The sequence below is a fragment of the Homo sapiens genome, chromosome X, assembly GCF_000001405.40.
Source record: "Homo sapiens chromosome X, GRCh38.p14 Primary Assembly".
NCBI lineage: Eukaryota > Metazoa > Chordata > Mammalia > Primates > Hominidae > Homo > Homo sapiens.
The window spans coordinates 65,433,321-65,454,224 of NC_000023.11; the positions used below are offsets into that span (position 1 = coordinate 65,433,321).

A 20,904-nucleotide genomic window follows, 5' to 3' on the forward strand; every position below is an offset into this window, starting at 1 on the left:
TCTGCAATACCACCTGAAATCCAGTAGTGCTTTTGGTTTACTATTATCATGGGTAGAGGCAGGTCTAATGGCTTCCATTTGGCCTTTCACACCATAATAAGCTTCACTTCACAGGTTAGAGAACTAATGTGGGGATTCTGCTAGATGCTAAGTATGTCTATTCCAGTTATGCATTCTGGAACTGGGGAACTAATCACAGGATGAGTTCAAAGATCCACTGGGCCCATTGTGAGATTAATCTAAGCTAAAACTCGATTGATTTCCTGACCTCTAAAGCTCCTAATCTTATAAACCACAATTTTAGTCTCCTAGAATTAGGATCACTTCAGATTTAATGTCTAGTAGTCGCTGGAAAGTCTGATTATTTTCTTTTACCCAATGTACAGTTTCCCTGGTAAATGGCCATAGGACCCTTTGGGGAAGGCTGGGAGAAAGACTAAAGGTATATATTTTTAGTAATGTATCTTGTGCTCTTCATCATGAGGAGCTGGCCTACCCTTCATTCAAGAGTTTCTGTTTCTGTAAGCTGTCTGAATTCTGAGAATTGATTGAAGGGTCATGATTCTCTGATTTTATGCTTTGAGTGAAACTTTTCTTTAATTGACATGGAAGTTTTCTCCTCGTATTGGTCAAGTAAGACTTTAGTAGGCTTTTTATCTATTTCACTTCCAGTAATACCATGATCGATGCCATAGATCCATGTAAGTCACGCTATCCTGATTCTTTTTCTGACTCTGATATCCATAATAGTAAGTATGCCAATCTTGTCTTTGGCAGTTGAGTGCTGCTACTTGGCTCCTGCCTCCTTGGGATCCTATTACTCCCATTACATTTAAGTTTTTCATTTGAGTGACTAAAGTTCACACTGTAAGGTCTGGCCTGCAGAGAAAAGAAACCACAGAGCTCATCAAGGTTCTGGGGTTCCCCTCACAAATATATTTCTCATAGTATTGGTAAAATATATGTTTTCTGGACCCTCCCAGTATAAATGATTAGGTTTTAAGTGACAAATCCACTGTAGCATTCCAATCTTCCTAAGCCTTTGAATCCCTTCCTCTATGTTAAAACAAGGGAGATTGGGCATCTCCAACTGGTTCATAGTGGACCATTTTTTAATGCACATTCAGTTAAACAAATAAACAAATTGTTAGAGCCCTTTCTAACTCCCTGAACTGCAGTATTAAATGCAAAATCACTGCTAAGTGGGCTTCTTACAGTAAATTTGGTCTGATCTAACTTTATGTTCCTTCCATCATTATCCCATACACTTAATTTCCATGTTATTACATTTTACCCAGATTTTCACTTGTATAAATTAGAAGACTCAAGTAGTTCTTTGCAGTGTGCTGAAACTACTCATGTGTCACACTTTGTACCTTGTCTATAGGGGCCTGCTAGAACTTGAGTCTAGTTATGGGTCTAGAAGAAAAGAAGGGTAGTGGGTGAGTCCTGAGGAGAATCATTGTCTGGCTTGATAACTGCCTCCCTGGAGGCCATTACTGTCTTTTCAGGCAGTGCAGTTAGATCCCTCAGGCAGAGGTGGTAAGGCCAATATCACTAGGAATGTGGAGGCTGCTGCTACTAGGAGTGGAGAAGGCACTTTCTCTGGAAAAAAGAAAAAAAGGGCTTATCAGAATGTAGAAGCTGTGCCCCAGCTTTATCTTCTCACACATCTCCTTCCCAACTTACAGAATCCTACTATTTCTCAATCAAAGCCCTCACTTTAACAGTAGACAGCCTACAAGGTTGGGGGTTCATCTTTCATTGTAATTCAACAATTTGCATGATGAGGAACTGTGTTTGATTTTTAACAGTTTTGCATGATGAGGAACTGTGTTCTGATTTTTAACAATAATAGGAGATAAGATTATCCTTCAGGGCACACCTAGAAGCTGTTAGATTATTTATACAGTGCTTGAGCTAGGAATTTAAATCCCTGAGCTAATCCTTTTATTTTATCACTTCATCCAGCAACATTAGGAGCAAACAACCATCATTATATCTCTTAGTTTTCCACAAATACTTGAAAGTATCATATACAGAGTCACTAAGTTTCTTGCCTCTTATAAGTGGTTGATTAGGAATATCAAAGGCAAATATTTTGTGTATCTTTATATACAGTTCATACAATGGACAATCAGTGCTTTCTGTACTATTGGAAATAGAGTCCTTAGCATTTTTAAGTGTGATGACATTAGAGAGCCAGTTCTAAAAATCTTCCAAAACCAATTTACAAAACTCATTCTTAAAATTTTATTTCTATAGAACCACTCCTGGTGCCAAACTCTATTAGTCAACGTTCTCCAGAGAAACAGAACCAATAGGATAGATAGATAGATAGATAGATAGATAGATAGATAGATAGATAGATAGATAGATAGACAGTCAGATAGATGAGAGGGGATTTATTATGAAAATGGGCTCACACTATTAAGGAGGCTAAGAAGTTCCACAGTATACTGTATGTGAGCTAGAGAACCAGAGAAGACAATAGGTTAGCCCAATTCAAATCTGAAAGTCAGAATCAGAAGAACCAATGGTGTAACTCTTCAATCAAAGGCTAAGTGTCTGAGAATATGGGGAGCCGCTCATGCAGGTCCCAGAGGCCAAAAGCAAGAGAACCTTGTGTTAGTCCATTCTCACATTGCTTCAAATAACTACCTGAGACTGAGTAATTTACAAAGAAACAGGTTAAATTGACTCATGGATACACAGGCTGTACAGGAAGCATGGTTGGGGAGGCCTCAGGAAACTTACAATCATGCCAGAAGCCAGAAGCCAAGGGGAAGCTAGCACGTCTTACGTGGCTGTAGCAGGAGGAAGAGAGAGTAAAGAGGGAAGTACCACACAGTTTTCAAACAACCAGATCTTGTGAGAATTCTGTCACAAGAACAGCAAGGGGGATGTCTGCCCCCATGATTCAATAACCTCCCACTAGGCCCCTCCTCCAACACTGGGAACCACAACTCAACATGGGATTTTGGTGGGGACACAAAGCCAAACCATATCAAACCACAAGGCCCAATGTCCAAAGGTAGGAGAAGATGAATGTCCCACCTCCAGATCAGAGAATAAATTCAACTTTGTTTTCTGTTCTATCTGGACTTTTTACCAATTGCATGGTGTCCACACATATTGGGTGAGGTGGATCTTCCTTCCTCAGCCCACCAATTTAAATGCCGACCTTTTTTGGAAACACCCTTACAGCTACAACCAGAAATAATTCTTTACCAGCTATCTTAGTATGCTTTTACACTGTCAAATTGACACCTGAAATTAACCATCAAATGGGAGCTCATATACGTGATAAGCGATTTTTCTCCTGCTGCTTTCAAGATTCTTGGCCCTTCACTTTTTAAAAAAACTTTTGATTTTTAAACTGTGTGGGTACATAGTAGGTGTATATATTTATGGGGTACCTAAGATATTTTCATACAGGACTACAATGTGTAATAATCACATTGGGGTAAATGGAGTATTCATCATATCAAGCATTTATCATTTCTTTGTGTTACGAACATTCCAATTATACTCTTTCAGTTATTTTAAAACGTACAACAAATGGTTATTGGCTTTAGTCATCCTGTTGTACTATCAAATACTAGATCTTATTCATTTTATTATTATTATTATTGTTATTATTATTATTTGAGATGGAGTCTTGCTCCATCACCCTGGCTGTAGTACAGTGGTGGGATCTTGGCTCACTGCAGCCTCCACCTTCTGGGTTCAAGCAATTCACCTGCCTCAGCCTCCCAAGTAGCTGGGATTACAGGTGTGCACCACCACGCCCAGCTAATTTTTGTATTTTTAGTAGAGACAGGGTTTCACCATGTGGGCCAGGCTGGTCTTGAAACCTGACCTATAGTGATCCACCGGCCTCGGCCTCCCAAAGTGCTGGGATTACAGGTGTGAGCCACCACATCCAACTCATTCTAATGATATTTTTGTACCCATTAACCATCCCCACTCCCCTGCTCTATACCCTTCCCAACCCCTGATAATAATTCTTCTACCCTCCATCTCCATGAATGTAACTGTTTTAAGTTTTAATTCCAACAAATAACTGCAAACATGCAATATTTGTCTTTCTATGCCTGGCTTAGGTGAAGTCATTCTGACTAGGGTGAGATGATATCGCATTGAAGTTTTAATTTACATTTCTCTGATCTTCAATAATGTCAAGCACATTTTCATATGTCTGTTTGGCATTTGTATGTCTTCTTTTAAGAAATGTCTATTCAAATCTTTTGCCTAATTTTTAATTATATTTTTAGATTTTTTTCTATTGAATTGTTTGAGCTCCTTATATATTCTGGTTATTAATCCCTTGTCAGATGAAGTTTTCAAATATTTTCTCTCATTCTATGGGTTGTCTCTTCACTTCGTTGACTCTTTCTTTTTTTTCTGTGTGGAAGCTTTTTAACTTGAAATAACCCCATTCATCCATTTTTGCTTTTATTGCCTATGCTTATGGGGTATTACTCAAGAAATCTTTGCCCAGACCAATGTCTTGGAGAGTTTCCTCAATGTTCTCTTTTAATAGTTTCATAGTTTGAGGTCTTATATTTAAGTCTTTAATCTTCCTTTTTGTATGCAGCAAGAGATAAGAGTCTAGTTTCATTCTTCTGCATATGGACATCCAGTTTTCCCAGTACCTCTTATTGAAGAGATTGTCCTTTCCCCATTATATGTTCTTGACACCTTTGTCAAATGTCTAGTTTTATTTCTGGTTTCTCTATTCTGTGTCATTGGTCTATGTGTCTGATTCTGTGGCAGTATTATGCTGTTTTTTTAAATATAGCTCTGTAGTATATTTTGAAGTCAGGCAATGTGATTCTTTCAGTTTCATTCTGTATGCTTAGGATAGCTTTGGCTATTCTGGGTCCTTTGTGTCTCCATATACATTTTTAAAGTATTTTTTTTTATTTCTGTGAAGAATGTCATTGATACTTTGATAGGGATTGCATTGAATCTGTACCTTACTTGATGTAGTATGGACATTTTCACAATATTCTTCCAATCCATGATATGGAATATCTTTCCTTTTTTTATGTCCTCTTCAATTTCTTGCATCAATGTTTTATAGTTTTCACTAAAAAGGTCCTTCATTTCTTTAACTTTATTCCTAATGCCAAGACCAGCTCAGTCGGGGAGACCCTAACCCAGAGGTGCTAGAGGAATTAAAGACACACACAGAAATATAGAGGTGTGAAGTGGGAAATCAGGGGTCTCATAGCCTTCAGAGCTGAAAGCCCCAAACAGAGATTTACCCACATATTTATTAACAGCAAACCAGTCATTAGCATTGTTTCTATAGATATTAAATTAACTAAAAGTATCCCTTAAGGGAAATGAAAGGATGGGCCAAATTAATTGCAGCAGGAACACGCCCTTAAGACACAGATCGCTCAGGATTTTGTTTGTGGCTTAAGAATGCCTTTAAGCGGTTTTCCGCCCTGGGCGGGCCAGGTGTTCCTTGCCCTCATCCCCATAAACCCACAACCTTCCAGCTTGGACATTATGGCCATTATGGACATGTTACATTGCTGCAGAGATTGTATTTATGGCCAGTTTTGGGGCCAGTTTATGGCCAGACTTTGGGAGGCTTGCTCCCAACATGTCTCCCTTCTTTGATTTGCAAAGAGATAAAAGCAAGGGCAGCTTTGTCATGGTGAGCTACTTTTCTCAGGAGTCGGGATCCACATCTGCAGACTATACAAAGACAAACAACAGAGATTAAAAGCACAGTCATTGAAATCACAGAGCTTCCAAGTGTTTTTATCCATTTTAATAGGTTACTAGCTGCTAATTTGTCTGCAGCTCCTTCAAGCACTCCAGTTCCTGGCATTAAGGTCAGTGTGCCTGGGATGCTTTAAATATTTGTTCTTTTAATTTTACATCCTTATGTTAAGCTCCTAGAGCCAGCCATATCATTTGAGGTTGAGGTGCCACTATACCACCATGGTTCTAGATAATAAGAACTTTTGCCATACTTCTTATTATACCTACCATCTTACCATTTTGTTCAGATCATCTGAACATAGTGTGGCAGTGGCACGCAGACTGAGAGGTGCAATTCAATCTAAACATCCCCTTATGGGACCAATTAATAATGATTCCATAGGAATCGTTTGTGCAGCACCTCTGCCTGTTCTGCAAAGCAATCTTCCTAAACAAGTACGTTCATTTTTTCTAACTGGGTCCAATCCTGTTTCCAAATAGGTTTTTGAGGGCAGTATGCCTCAATTATAGGAGCAGATTTATTATGGTAAATACTGAGATCAGAAAGCATGTGTTACTGTGTCATAGAATGATTGCATCCAGGCATTATTACCAGCCCTTATTGAAGGAATACTCATGGCAGTGGTGATAACTGCTATCATAGCTACCATTAAATTATTCATTGTGACTGGTTGTCCCGCTTTCCTCAGGTTTTCTTCTGCCATCTGTGACAGCTTCTTGATCTGTCCTTAGGTGGGTGGCTGTGTTCGACAGGTGTTCCTCCTGACAGTTGGGGTCCTCCTCAGTGTCAGTCTCAACATGGCTGCAACTGGGGATCCTTCCGGAGTCTCTTCCTTGGCATCTGGCTCATGATAAGGTTTCAGGTGTCTTGGTGGTATCCAAATCGGCTGTTGATTTTGGCCTGGAGAAATACAAGCATAAGCTCTACCCCAAGTTATTATTTTACCTATTTCCCAACTTTTTGTTATTGGATCTTTTCACCAAATAATGCTAGATTCAACTGTGTATGGGCTGTCCTGTAATCCCTATCTTTCCTCCTTTTTTGTTTTTGTCATCAGTTGTTCATCTATATGAAATCGTAACTAAAGCCTCCAGTTTTTCTTGTCTCTAGCATTAGATATTGCATTAGCAACTAGGCGATCAGCCATTTGATTCCCTTCAGTCAAAGGTCCTGGAAGAGGTGTATGAGCCCCAATGTGAGTGATGTAAAAAGGGTGCATTCTACTTCTAACTGCTGTTTGCAATTGGATAAATAAAGTCATCAGTTTTTCATCTGTATGAAATCGTAACTGAGCATTTTCAATTAACTGTGTGGAATGAACCATGTATGAAGAATCAGAAATCACGTTAATAGGCATATCAAAAGCAGTGAATACCTCAATTACAGCTACAAGCTCCACTCTTTGAGCTGAAGTATAGGATGTCTGGAAAACTTTACTTTTTGATCCAGAATAAGAAGCTTTACCATTACTAGACCCATCTATAAAACAATAAAAACGCTTAGCAGGCTGCAGGTTGTTTACTGCAGGAATTGTAAATGCAAACCGTTCACAGTCTTGCTCAGCCAAAGGGATAGTAAAGAAACAGTTTTTTAAATCTATGACTATTAAAGGCCAATTTTTTGGAATTATAGCAGGAGAAGGCAATCCTGGCTGTAATGCTCCCATAGGATGTGTAACTGAATTGATGGCTCTTAAGTCAGTTAACATTCTTCATTTACCTGATTTTTTCTTAATTACGAAAACTGGAGAATTCCAAGGAGAAAATGTTGGAGCTATGTGCCCATTTTCTAATTGTTCAGCAGCTAATTTCTCTAAAGCCTCCAGTTTTTCTTTACTTTGCTGCCATTGTTCTATCCAAATTGGCTTATCTGTTAACCATTTTAAAAGTATAGGTTCTGGAGGCTTAACAATGGCTGCCATCAAAATTTTTTTCCTAACCTTTGGCAGGAACTTTGTTTTTTTGCTTGAAGCAGTTCTTTCAAACCTTGCAAATTTTTTTCTAGTCCCATGCCAGGGACATACCTCAATTTCATGCATTGTATGTTGACTTTGTGGGCTATACAATTGTTCTGGAATTAGAACTTGTGCCTCCCATTGCGGTAATAAATCTCTTCCCTATAAATTTATAGGTACAGAAGTTATAATTGGTTGAATAGTCCCAGGTTGTCCATCAGGCCCCTCCCAATGCAAAATATAACTACTTTGATATGCTTCAGCGGCTTTACCAATTCCAACTATGTTAAATTGAGCGAGATGAATTGGCCATACAGACAGCCAGTGCTGTAGAGAAATGATTGAAATGTCTGCTCTTGTATCTACCAAACCTTTAAATTTCTTTCCTTGAATAGTTATTTCACAGGTAGGATGTTTATCAGTAATTTGATTTACCCAATAAGCTGCTTTGCCTTGTTTATTTGTGCTTCCAAATCCTCCTGTTCATTTAATTTCACTTCTTCCCATTCCCACATATGGCACAATCAGGAGCTGTGCTATGCGCTCTCCTGGCTCTGCTTTCCAGGAAACAGACGTAGATATAACAATTTGAATTTCCCCATTGTAATCTGAATCAATGACTCCTGTATGTATTTGTATGCCTTTTAAACTTGAACTAGACCTTCCTAAAAGTAATCGCATTGTCCCTGCTGGTAAGGGTCCACAGACTCCAGTTGGGACCTTTTGCAGGGGTTCCCCAGGCAGAAGGCTCACAGCTTTTGTGCAGCATAAGTCTACTGCGGCACTACCAGCTGTGGCGGAGGACAGACATTGTACAGGGGTGAGGGAATGGCCTGAGCCAGAAATGCCCCAGTTTAGAACGGGGCCCGGGACGGGCCCCTCATGGCGTTTCCCGAAATCGGATCCCCTTCTTTATCAAATTTAGAGTGACACTGATGAGCCCAGTGTTTTCCTTTTTTACATTTTGGACATATTTCAGGCTCAGCAGTTTTCTTTTTTCCCCTATCTAGTGGCCTGACTCACTGATTTTTTCTACATTCTTTTTTAGTATGACCATGCTTCCCACAGTTAAAACAAGCTCCAGGAAATGGAGTATTTCCTTTATCCACTTTTAGTCCTGCCATTGCCTGTGCCAACAAGGTAGCATTATACAGATTACCTCCGATACCATCACAGGCCTTGATATAATCAACTAAATGTGCTTTCCCTCTGATAGGTCGCAGAGCAGCCTGGCAATCGGGATTAGCATTGTCGAAAGCTAATAACTGCAACACTATATTCTGAGCAGCCGAATCTGAAATCATCTTTTTAAGAGACTCCTGTAACCGAGCTATAAAATCAACATATGGTTCTCTGGGTCCCTGTTTTATAGCACTAAAGGAAAGGTATTGTTCTCCACCTGAAGTGATTTTTTTTCCCAAGCTCTAATGCTCACTCCTCTAAGCCGTTCTATGGCATCATCCTGCATGACCAGTTGTGCATCTAAACCAGCCCAGCCGTCGACCCCCAAAAGCTGGTCTGCAGTTATATTAATCTGAGGTTGGGCCTGGGCATTGTGAGCAGCCTGAATGGAAGCTTCATCTGCCCACCAAGTTTTAAATTGTAAGAACTGAGCAGGAGTTAGACAAGCTCGAGTAAGAGTGTCCCAGTCAGTAGGAATTATCCGACTGGAAACAGTAACATTCTTTAACAGTCCCATTACAAAAGGAGAACCTGGTCCATACTCATTTATTGCTTGTTTTAATTTTTTGAGTAATTTAAAAGGAAAAGGCTCAAATGTAGCTGTAATATTTCCCTCTTGATCTGGGGGGTGTATTCTAACAGGGAACTGCCAAGCCTCTAAATCACCCTCTCGTCTAGCTTGCTGAATTCCTGCCTGGATAGAACTAAGAGCCATCGCTCGAGGCGCTGCTTGAACAGTCACTGGGGCAACTAGTTTTCACCCAGTGTCCTCTGGAAAAGAAAGATTTGGGGGGTCATTTTCCTCAAAATAATAAGGAGGGGGTGCAGAAGGGTAGGGATGAACCTCTCCTTCCTTTGCCACTTTAGCTTTAGCTGGCAAATAAACATGCTCTGTAACCTCTTCTGTTACTTCGCTATAATCGTTCCTCCTCATTATCAGTGTGAAAAAGTTCCAAGGTGAAACGAACCAGACCCCATATCTGTCCCATTGTTACCCTGACACTTCCGAGCTCCCCTTCTTACTCACCATGGGGATTACTTTAAGAGTACTCAGGTGTCCTCCTGCTAGTTTTCCATTCCAACCATCGCTCCGGTGCCCCTTCAACCTGGATTCGAGCCCCCACGAATGGACGCCACTTGCCGAGACCAGCTCGGCTGGGGAGACCCTAACCTAGAGGCCGACCCTAACCCAGAGGCGCTAGAGGAATTAAAGACACACACACAGAAATATAGAGGTGTGAAGTGGGAAATCAGGGGTCTCACAGCCTTCAGAGCTGAGAGCCCCAAACAGAGATTTACCCACATAATTATTAACAGCAAACCAGTCATTAGCATTGTTTCTATAGATATTAAATTAACTAAAAGTATCCCTTAAGGGAAATGAAAGGATGGGCCAAATTAATTGCAGCAGGAACATGCCCTTAAGACACAGATCACTCAGGCTTTTGTTTGTGGTTTAAGAATGCCTTTAAGCGGTTTTCCAGCCTGGGCGGGCCAGGTGTTCCTTGCCCTCATTCCTGTAAACCCACAACCTTCCAGTTTGGGTGTTATGGCCATTATGGACATATTACATTGCTGCAGAGATTGTATTTATGGCCAGTTTTGGGGCCAGTTTATGGCCAGACTTTGGGGGACTTGCTCCCAACACCTAGGTATCTATTTCCATCATTTTATTTTTAATCTATGTGTGTTCTTACAGGTAAAATGTGTTTCTTGCAGGCAGAAGATAGTTGGGACTTGTTTTTTAATCTATTGAGCCACTCTATGTATGTTGATTGAAGAGTTTGCTCTATTTATGTTCAATGTTATTATTGATAATTGAGAATTTACTGCTGTCATTTCGTTATTTGTTTTCTGCTCATTTAGTGGTCTTCTCTTTCTTCCTTCTTTCTTATCTACCTCTCTGTGAGAAAGATTTTCTCTTGTGTTACATTTTAATTTTTGCTTTCTGTTTTTGTGTATTTGTTGTCGGTTTATTTATTTGAGACTGCCATGAGGCTTGCAAATTACATCTTATAACCCATTATTTTAAACTCATAACAACTTCACACTGAGTTTAAAAGCAAAGAAGCAAGCTGATAGGTTTGGCTGTGTCCCCACCCAAATCTCATCTTGAATTCCCTATGTGTTGTGAAATGAACCTGGTGGGAGGTTATCGAATAATGGGGGCAGGTCTGTCCCATGCTGTTCTCATTGTAGTGAATAAGTCTCACAAGACCTGATGGTTTTAAAAACGGGCATTTCCCTGCACAAATTCTCTCTTCTCTTGTCTGCCAACATGTGAGACATGGCTTTCACTTTCCACCATGATTGTGGGAACTCCCTAGCCATGTGGAACTGTAAGTCCATTAAACCTCTTTCTTTTGTAAATTGCCCAGTCTCAGGTATATCTTTATCAGCAGCATGAAAATGGACTAATACAGTAAATTGGTACCGGTAGAGTGGGGTGTTACTGAAAAGACACCTGAAAATGTGAAAGCAACTTTGGAACTAGGTAACAGGCAGAGATTGGAACAGTTTGAAGGGCTCAGAAGAAGACAGGAAAATGTGGAAAAGTTTGGAACTTCCTAGAGACTGAATAAACTTTCTATGCTGATCTCTCTCCCTATCTCCTCTTTAAGGCCAATAACTTAGATTTGCCCTTTTGAGGCTATCTTCTATATCTTTTTGCCATACTTTGTTGTTTTTGTTAGTATTTTTATTTTATCTCCCCTGACTGTGTATACTCAAATAGCTTGTCTTCGAGCTCACTAATTCTTTTTTCCACTTTATCAATTCTGCTATTGAGAAACTGATGTATTCTTCAGTACACCAATTGAATTTTTCAGCTCCAAAATTTCCTCTTAGTTTTTAAAAATTATTTCTATTTCTTTGTTAAATTTATCTGATAGGATTCTGAATTCCTTCTCTGTGTTATTTTTAATTTCACTGAGCTTCCTCAAAATAACTATTTTGAATTCTCTCTTTGAAAGACCACATATCTGTATCTCTCTGAAATTGGTTGCTGGTGCCTTATTTAGCTCATTTGGTGAAGTCATGTTTCCTGGATTGTCTTGATGCTTGAGGATGTTCTTTGATGTCTGGGCATTGAAGACTTAGGCATTTATTGTAATCTTCAGCTTTGGTTTGTTTATTCTCATCTTTCTGGAGAAGGCTTTCAGGTATTCAAAGGGAATTGAGTGTTGTGATCTAAGTCTTTGGTCACTGTAGTCTTGGTTGTCTTGGGTACGATTCAAGAGAAATCCCTGGATTACCAGGCAGAGTCTCTTGTTCACTTCCTTTATTTTCCCCCAAACAAATGGAGTATCTCTTTCCATAATGAGCTCCCTGGAGTTAGAAGTGGATTTACACAAACATCTCTAAGGCCACTACCACTGGGACTGTACTGGGTCAGACCTGAAGTCAGCAAAGTAGTGGGTCTCACCCATGGTCTGTGGCAACTATTGTCTGGCTACCACTGATTTTGATTCAAGGCACAAGGGCTCTTTAGTTGGCAGTTGGTGAATCCAGCCAAGCTTATGTCTTTCCCTTGAGGATGGCATATTCTGTTAATGGCCCAGAATGGGTCTAGAAATGCTGTCTGGGAGCTGGGGCTAGGAGTCGGGAATTTTAGAAATCTACTTGTTGCTTTATTTTATTGTTGCTAAGCTCATACCCAAGTTGCAAGGTAAAGTGCTTTTTACTCTTTCCTCTTCTTTCCTAGAGCAGAAAGAGTGTTTTCCTATTGCCACCACAGCTAAGAATGTGCTGGGTCACACCTGAAGCCATCCCAGTACCAGGTTTCACCCAAGGCCCATGGTGAGTACTGCCTGGCTACTGCTGATGTTTATTCAAGGCCCAAAGGCTCTTTAGTCTGCAGGTGATGAATCCTGCCAGGACTGGGTTCTTTCCTTCAAGGCAGCAGGTTCCCTTCTGCCCAGATTGTGTCTAGCAATGTCATGTGGGAACTGGGGCCTGGAATGGGGGCCTGAGGACACTGCTTGGTGCTTTATTTTACTGGGGCTGAGCTGACATTCAAGTTGCAAGACAAAGTCATCTTTACCTTTTTCTCTCTTTCCTCAAGTGAAAGGAGTTTCTTCCAGAGCTGCAAGCTGAACTGCCTGGGGTTAAGAGAGAGGTGACACAAGCACTATCTTGGCTGTTCCCGCTGGTGTCTTACTGGGTCACATGCATCCAAAATCCACTGTATCTAAGCCCAGCACAGCACCAGGACTTCTCCAGGAATTCCAGTCCTCATGCCCTGAATTGCCTTTCAAATTTATTTAGGATCCCAAAACGCTTTAATGCTTGGTGGTGTGGCTAGCCAGAACTCAGGTTCCAATGGTTGGGTGGGATAGATGATTCCTTTCAGACTAGAGCTAATTTAAATGCTCCCTTCACAGGCACTGGATAAATTCTGTCCTGTGTTGCTTTCCGCTGTGACAGGATAGCACTGAGTTCCAATATACAGTTGCATAATCACTGTATTCACCCTCCCTCAAACTCAAAGTTTCATTCTCTGTGCCTCACAGACACTGCAGAGGAATGCAGAAGGGGTGGTGTCGCAATTCAAGATTTTCTTTCTTATCCTCTTTAGTGCCCCTTTCCTTCATATGATGTTAAAACCAGGTACTGTGACCATTCACCTGATTGGAGGTTCTTATGAAAGTGCTTTCTTGTGTCAATAGTTGTTCAGTTTGGTGTTGCTGTGTTGTGGAGACAATTACTGGGGGTTCTATTCAGCCATTTTACTCTGTCTTCTGCCTCTCACTTTTGACAATTTGATTATAATGCTTTTCAGTATGGACTTCCTTAGGACAACTTTTGTTGGAGTACTTTGGGCTTCTTAATTTAGATGTCTATTTGGTTCTTCAGAACCAATTCTTCAGATTTGGGCTGTTTCAGCAATCATTTCTTCAAATAAGCCCCCTTCCCAATCTAATCTCCCTCTTCTCCTTCTTGCACTTCTATAATATGTATATTAACCCACTTGATGGTGGTTCACAAATTCTGTAGACTGTCTTCACTCTTTTTCTTTTCTTTTTCCTTTTTATCTGACTAGATAATGTCAAATGACCTGTCTTTTAAATTTGCCATTATTTTTCTGTTTGATCAAGTCTGTTGTTTGTCTTTGTGATTTTTTTAATTTAAAAATTCAAGGACATCCCATTTTATAAATAATGCTGGCAAAACTGGATAGAGACATGTAGAAGAATGAAACCAGATCTCTATCTCTGAACATCTACAAAAATCAACTCAAGATAAATCCAAGACTTAAATCTAAGATCTGAAACTATAAAAATTCTAGAAGAAAACCTAGGAAAAACTCTTCTGAATGTTGGTGTAAGCAAAGAAGTTATGACTAAGACCCCAAAAGCAAATCCAACTATAACAAAAATGAATAAATGAAACCTAATTAAACTAAAAAGCTTCTTCACAGCAAAAGAAAGAATCATCAGAGTAAACAAACAACTCACAGAATGGGAGAAAATATTTGCAAACTATGCATCTGATGAAGGACTAATATCCAGAACTACAAGGAACTCACACAAATCAGCAAGAAAAAATAATAATAATTCCATCAAAAAGTGGACAAATGACATGAATAGACATTTCTCAAAAGAAAATGTACAAATGGCCAAAAAACATATGAAAAGTGCTCAACATCACTAATCATGAGGGAAATGCAAATTAAAACCACAATGAGATACCACACAATGAGATACCACCTTATCCCAGCCAGAATAACCATTATTGAAAAGTTAAAAGGGCCGGGCACGGTGGCTCACACCTGTAATCCCAGCACTTTGGGAGTCTGAGGCAGGTGGATCACGAGGTCAGGAGATCGAGACCATCCCGGCTAACACAGTGAAACCCCGTCTCTACTAAAAATACAAAAAAAAATTAGCCGGGTGTGGTGGTGGGCACCTGTAGTCCCAGCTACTCAGAAGACTGAGGCAGGAGAATGGCGTGAACCCAGGAGGCAGAGCTTGCAGTGAGCCAAGACCACACCACTGCACTCCAGCCTGGGTGACAGAGCAAGACTCTGTCTCAAAAAAAAAAGATGTTGGCATGGATGTGGTGAAAAGGCAAAGTTTATGCACTGCTGGTAGAAATGCAAATTATTATAACCTCTATGGAAAATGCTATGGAAATGTCTTAAATAATTAAAGGTAGACTATGATTCAATCCAGCAATCCCACTACAGGGTATCTACCCCTTCTTTAAAGGAAAAGAAGTCATATCAAAAAGAAACCTGCACGTGTATGTTTATCACAGCACAATTAACAATTGCAAAGATATAGAAAGAACCTAAGTGCCCATCAACAAATGTGTGGATAAAGAAGATGTGGGACCGGGCACTGTGGCTCATGCCTGTAATCTCAGCACTTTGTGAGGCCGACGTGGGTGGATCGCCTGAGGTCAGGATTTTAAGCCCAGCCTGGCCAACATGGTGAAACCCCATCTCTACTAAAAATATAAAAATTAGCTGGACGTGGTGGCACATGCCTGTAAGCCCAGCTACTCGGGAGGCTGAGGAAGGAGAATCGCTTGAACCCAGGAGGTGGAGGTTGCAGTGAACCAAGATTCACACCACTGCACTCCAGCCTGGGTGACAGAATGATACTCCAAAAAAAGAAGAAAAAGAAAGAAAGAGAGAAAGAGGAAGGAAAGAAGGGAGGAAGGGAGGGAGGGAAATAAATAAAGAAAGAAAGAGAGAGAGAAAGAGAGAAAGGAAGGAAGGAAAGAGAAGGAAAAGAAAGAAAGAAAGAAAAAGAAAGAAAGAAAGAAAGAAAGAGAAAGAAAGAAAGAGAGGAAAGAAAGAAAGAAAGGAAGGAAAGAAGGAAAGAAAGAAAGAAGGAAGGAAAGAAAGAAAGAAGGAAGGAAAGAAAGAAAGAAAGAGAAACAGAAAGAAAAGAAAATGTGTTATGGACACATGGTGGGGAACAACACACACTAGGACATATCAGAGAGGGTAGGGTGAGGAGAGGGAGAGCATCAGGAAGAATAATGGATGATAAGCTTAATACCTGGTGTGGGATGATTTGTGCAGCAAATCACCATGGCACACGTTTATCTATGTAACAAACCTGCACGTCCTGCACATATACCCCTGAACTTAAAATACATGTTGAAGAAAAAAAAGAAAATGTGGGCCAGGCATGGTGGTTCACGCCTGTAATCCTAGCACATTGGGAGGCCAAGGCGGGCGGATCACCTGAGGTCAGGGATTCAAGACCAGCCTGGACAACATGGCAAAACCCCCTCTGTAGTAATAATACAAAAATTAGCCAGGCATGATAGCACATGCCTGTAGTCCCAGCTACTCAGGAGGGTGAGGCAGGGCAATCTCTTGAACCCAGGAGGTGGAGGTTGCAGTGAACCAAGATCACACCACTCCACTTTAGCCTGGGTGACAGAATGAGACTCCATCTCAAAAGAATTAAAAAAAAAATTGATATGTCTACAACACGGAATACTACTCTGCCATAAATGAGAATGAAAAAATGTCTTTTGCAGCATCTTGGATGCAGCTGGAGGCCATTATTCTAAGAGAAGTAACTCAGGAATGAAAAGCCAAATACTGTATGTTCTCACTTATAAGTGGGAGCTAAGCTATGCATACACAAAGGCATATGGAGTGATATAATGGACTTTGGAGACTCAGAAGCATGAGGGTAAGAGGGGACTAACAGATAAAAAACTATATGTTGGGTTCAATTTACACTACTCAGGTGATCAGTGTGCTAAAATCTCAGATTTCACCACCATACAATTCATTCATGTAACCAAAAGCCACTTGTACCCCAAAAGCTATTGAAATAAAAAATATATATTTTTAGGCTGGGCGTGGTAACTCACGCCTGTAATCCCAACACTTTGGGAGGCTGAGGAGGGTAGATCGTGAGGTCAGGAGTTCAAGACCAGCCTGGCCAAGATGGCGAAACCCTGTCTCTACTAAAAATACAAAAATTAGCCGGGCGTGGTTGCAGACACCTGTAATCCCAGCTACTTGGGAGGCTGAGGCAGGAGAATTACTTGAACCGGGAGTTGGAGGTTGCAGTGAGCTGAAATCATGTCACTGCCTTCCAGCCTGGGCGACAGAGCAAGACTTCATCTCAAAAAAAAAATATATATATATATACATATATATGTATATATATGTGTATATATATGTGTGTATATACATATATATATTTATATGTGTATATATATGTATATATATGTGTGTATATACATATATATATTTATATGTGTATATATATACATATATGTATATATATGTGTATATATGTATATGTATACATATGTGTATATATGTATATGTATACATATGTGTATATATGTATATGTATACATATGTGTATATATGTATATGTATACATATGTGTATATATGTATATGTATACATATGTGTATATATGTATATGTATACATATGTGTATATATGTATATGTATACATATGTGTATATATGTATATGTATACATGTGTATATATGTATATGTATACATATGTGTATATATGTATATGTATACATATGTGTATATATGTATATATATATACATATGTGTATATATGTATATGTATACATATGTGTATATATGTATATATATACATATGTGTATATATGTATATATATACATATGTGTATATATGTATATATATACATATGTGTATATATGTATATATATACATATGTGTATATATGTATATATATACATATATACACACACACACATATATATATATACACATACATATATATGTGAAAAGCAATAGTATTAATTCAATTCTTTTGTTCATCCAGGCTGAAGTGCAGTGGTGCGATCTCACCTCACTGCAAGCTCCACCTCCTGGGTTCAAGCGATTCTTCTGCCTCAGCCTCGCAAACAACTGGAATTACAGGCGCATGCCACCATGCCTGGCTAATTTTTTTGTATTTATAGTAGAGATGGGGTTTCACCGTGTTAGCCAAGCTGGTCTTGAACTTCTGACCTCGAGTGAGCCACACACCTCGGTATCCCAAAGTCCTGGGATTACAGGTGTGAGCCACCAAGCCCAGCCTCATTTTTTTGTTTTTGTTTTTGTTTTTTTATAATTTCTATTTCTTTGTTGATATTCTTGATTTGTTCCTTATCATTTAGTTGTGTGTGTTCTCAAGTAGTGTATGGAACTTCTTTTAAGTGATTGCTTTGAATTCTTTGTCAGATAATGCATAAGTCTTCATTTCTTTAGGATCAGTGTCTAGAGATTTATATTGCTATTTTGATTGGGCTATGTTTCTCTGTTTCTTCATGTTCCTTTTTATTTTTTCTTTATTTTTATTTTTATTTTATGTAGATATGGAGGTATCACTATGTTGCTCAGGCTGCTTTTGAACTCAGCCTTAAGTAATCCTTCTGCCTCAGCCTTCCAAAGTGTTTGTATTACAGGCATCAGCCACTGTGCTCAGCCTTTTGTTGTCATTGTTATATATGAAAAAGCAGCTACCTCTTCTAGTCTTTATGGGATGTCTTTGTAAATGGGAAGATCTTTACTAGCTCAGCCTGGTTAGAGATTCTGAGGGCTTCTCACATTTTTAGAAGAGATACATCTTCTCTGGGTTTGTGCGTTTAATTTCCTTATTAGTGAATCTTGCCAGTTTCTTTTTCAGGAGCTTATAGTGTCTTGCTCCCTCTGGTGTTTCACTGGAGTACTGTAGGTTCTCTGGCAGTACAACAAGCCACTGAGCTGCTGCTGCTTTTTTTCTTTATGGAGAGGCTTTATTGATTTGGACATATAGGTGAAATAATGGTTTCAGCGTTGATGGTCAGAGCTAGGTTGAAATGAGATTTCAAAGTAAATCTTGAAGAGCCAGTTGTGGGTCTTTCATAAGGAAAAAGTGAATACTCCAGTGTCAAACTAATGGGATTTCTATTCCCCCTGAGAACTGGAACATGACAAGGTTGCCCACTCTCACCACTTCTATTCAATATAGTACTGGAAGTCCTAGCCAGGGCAATCAGACCAGAGAAAGAAATAAAAGGCATCCAAATCAGTAAAGAGGAAGTCAAACGATCACTGTTTGCTGATGACATGATTGTATACCTAGAAAACCCTAAAGACACCTCCAAAAAGCTGCTAGAACTGATAAATGAATTCAGCAAAGTTTCAGGATACAAAATTAATGTACACATATCATTAGCTATGCTATACATCATCAGCAACCAAGCTGAGAATCAAATCAAGAACACAACCACTTTTACAATAGCTGAAAAAAAAAAAAACACTTGGGAATATACCTAACCAAAGAGGTGATAGACCTCTACAAGGAAAACTACAAAACACTGCTGATAGAAATCATAGATGACACAAACAAATGAAAACACATACTGGCTGGGCGTGGTGGCTCACGCCTGTAATCCCAACACTTTGGGAGGCCGAGGTGGGTGGATCAACTGAGGTCAGGAATTCAAGACCAGCCTGGCCAACATGGTGAAACCCCATCTCTACTAAAAATACAAAAATTTGCCAGGCGTAGTGGTAGGTGCCTGTAATCCCAGCTGCTCGGGAGGCTGAGGCAGGAGAATTGCTTGAACCTGAGTGGTGGAGGTTACAGCAAGCCAAGATAGTGCCATTGCATTCCAGCCTGGGCAACAGAGTGAGACTCCATCTAAACACACACACACACACACACACACACACACACACACACCATGTTCATGGATGGGTAAAATCAATATTGTAAAAATGAACATACTGCTAAAAGCAATCTACAAATTCAATGCAGTTCCCATCAAAATGCCACCATCATTCACAGAACTAGAAAAAACAATCCTAAGGCACAGATGGAACCGAAAAAGAGCCCACATAGCCAATGCAAGACTAAGCAAAAAGATCAAATCTGCTGGAGGCATCACATTATCTGACTTCAAATTATACCATAAGGCCATCATCACCAAAACAGCATGGTACTGGTATAAAAATAGGCACATAGACCAATGGAACAGAATAGAGAACTCAGAAATAAAGCCAAAATAGAAAGTAGAACTACCATTTGATCCAGCAATCCCACTACTCTATATGTATCCAGAGGAAAAGAAGCCATTATATGAAAAAGACAGTTGCACACACATGTTTATAGGCGCACAATTCTCAATTCTCAATTGCAATAATATGGAACCAGCTCAAATGCATATATATATATATATATATATATATATATATATATATATATATAAAATAGAATAGTAATCAGCCATGCAAAGGAACGAGACCAGGTGCGGTTGCTCATGCCTGTAATTCCAGCACTTTGGGAGGCCAGGGCAGGTGGATCACCTGAGATCAGGAGTTCAAGATCGGCCTAGTCAACATGGTGAAACACTTTCTCTACCAAAAAATACAAAAATCATCTGGGTGTGGTGGTGCACGCCTGTAGTCCCAGCTACTCGGGAGGCTGAGGTGGGATAATTGTTTGAACACAGGAGGCAGAGGTTGCAGTGAACCGAGATCATGCCACCGCACTCGAGCCTCGAGCCTAGGTGACAGAGTGAGACCATGTCACACACACACAAAAAGGAATAAAATAATGGCATTTGCAGCAACCTGGATGGAATTAGAAACCATTATTCTCAGTGAAGTAATTCAGTAATGGAAAACCAAACATCATATGTTCTCACTCATAAGTGGGAGCTAAGCTATAACGATGCAAAGGCATAAGAATTATACAATGGACTTTGGGGACTTGGAGGAAAGGATGGGAGGGGGGTGAGAGACAAAAGACTACACATTGGGTACAGTGTACACTGCTCGGGTGATGAGTGCATGAAAAATCTCAGAAAGGGTGGAGCCAAGATGGCCGAATAGGAACAGCTCCAGTCTACAGCACCCAGCGTGAGTGACGCAGAAGACAAATGATTTCTGCATTTCCAAATGAGGTACCAGGTGCATCTCACTGGGGATTGTCAGACAGTGGGTGCAGGACAGTGGGTGCAGTGCACCAAGCCTGAGCTGAAGCAGGGCGAGGCATCACCTCACCTGGGAAGCACAAGGGGTCAGGG

The 20,904-nt window shown here is 39.9% G+C and overlaps 1 protein-coding gene across 14 annotated transcripts in view, besides 1 other annotated feature; it reads left to right on the forward strand.

Annotated features, from left to right (window-relative positions):
- Positions 1 to 20,904, forward strand: part of ZC3H12B (zinc finger CCCH-type containing 12B) — a 473,062-nt gene that overhangs the window by 398,495 nt on the left and 53,663 nt on the right. For 7 of the 14 annotated variants that reach the window (XM_047442076.1, XM_047442079.1, XM_017029484.2 and 4 more), the window contains one exon: positions 12,586 to 12,680. The exons of 6 other annotated variants lie outside the window; for them this stretch is intronic. The gene's annotated coding sequence lies outside the window, so the exon portion shown is untranslated. The remainder of the gene's footprint in view (positions 1 to 12,585; positions 12,681 to 20,904) is intronic. One more of the 14 variants, XM_017029481.2, reaches the window with a different exon arrangement.
- Positions 5,417 to 5,937: an enhancer, noted in NCBI's record as "NANOG hESC enhancer chrX:64658617-64659137 (GRCh37/hg19 assembly coordinates)". NCBI's record gives its function as "activates a minimal SCP1, AML or CMV promoter by ChIP-STARR-seq in naive H9 embryonic stem cells {active_cell/tissue: H9 hESC(naive)}" and the evidence as "EXISTENCE:reporter gene assay evidence [ECO:0000049][PMID:30033119]".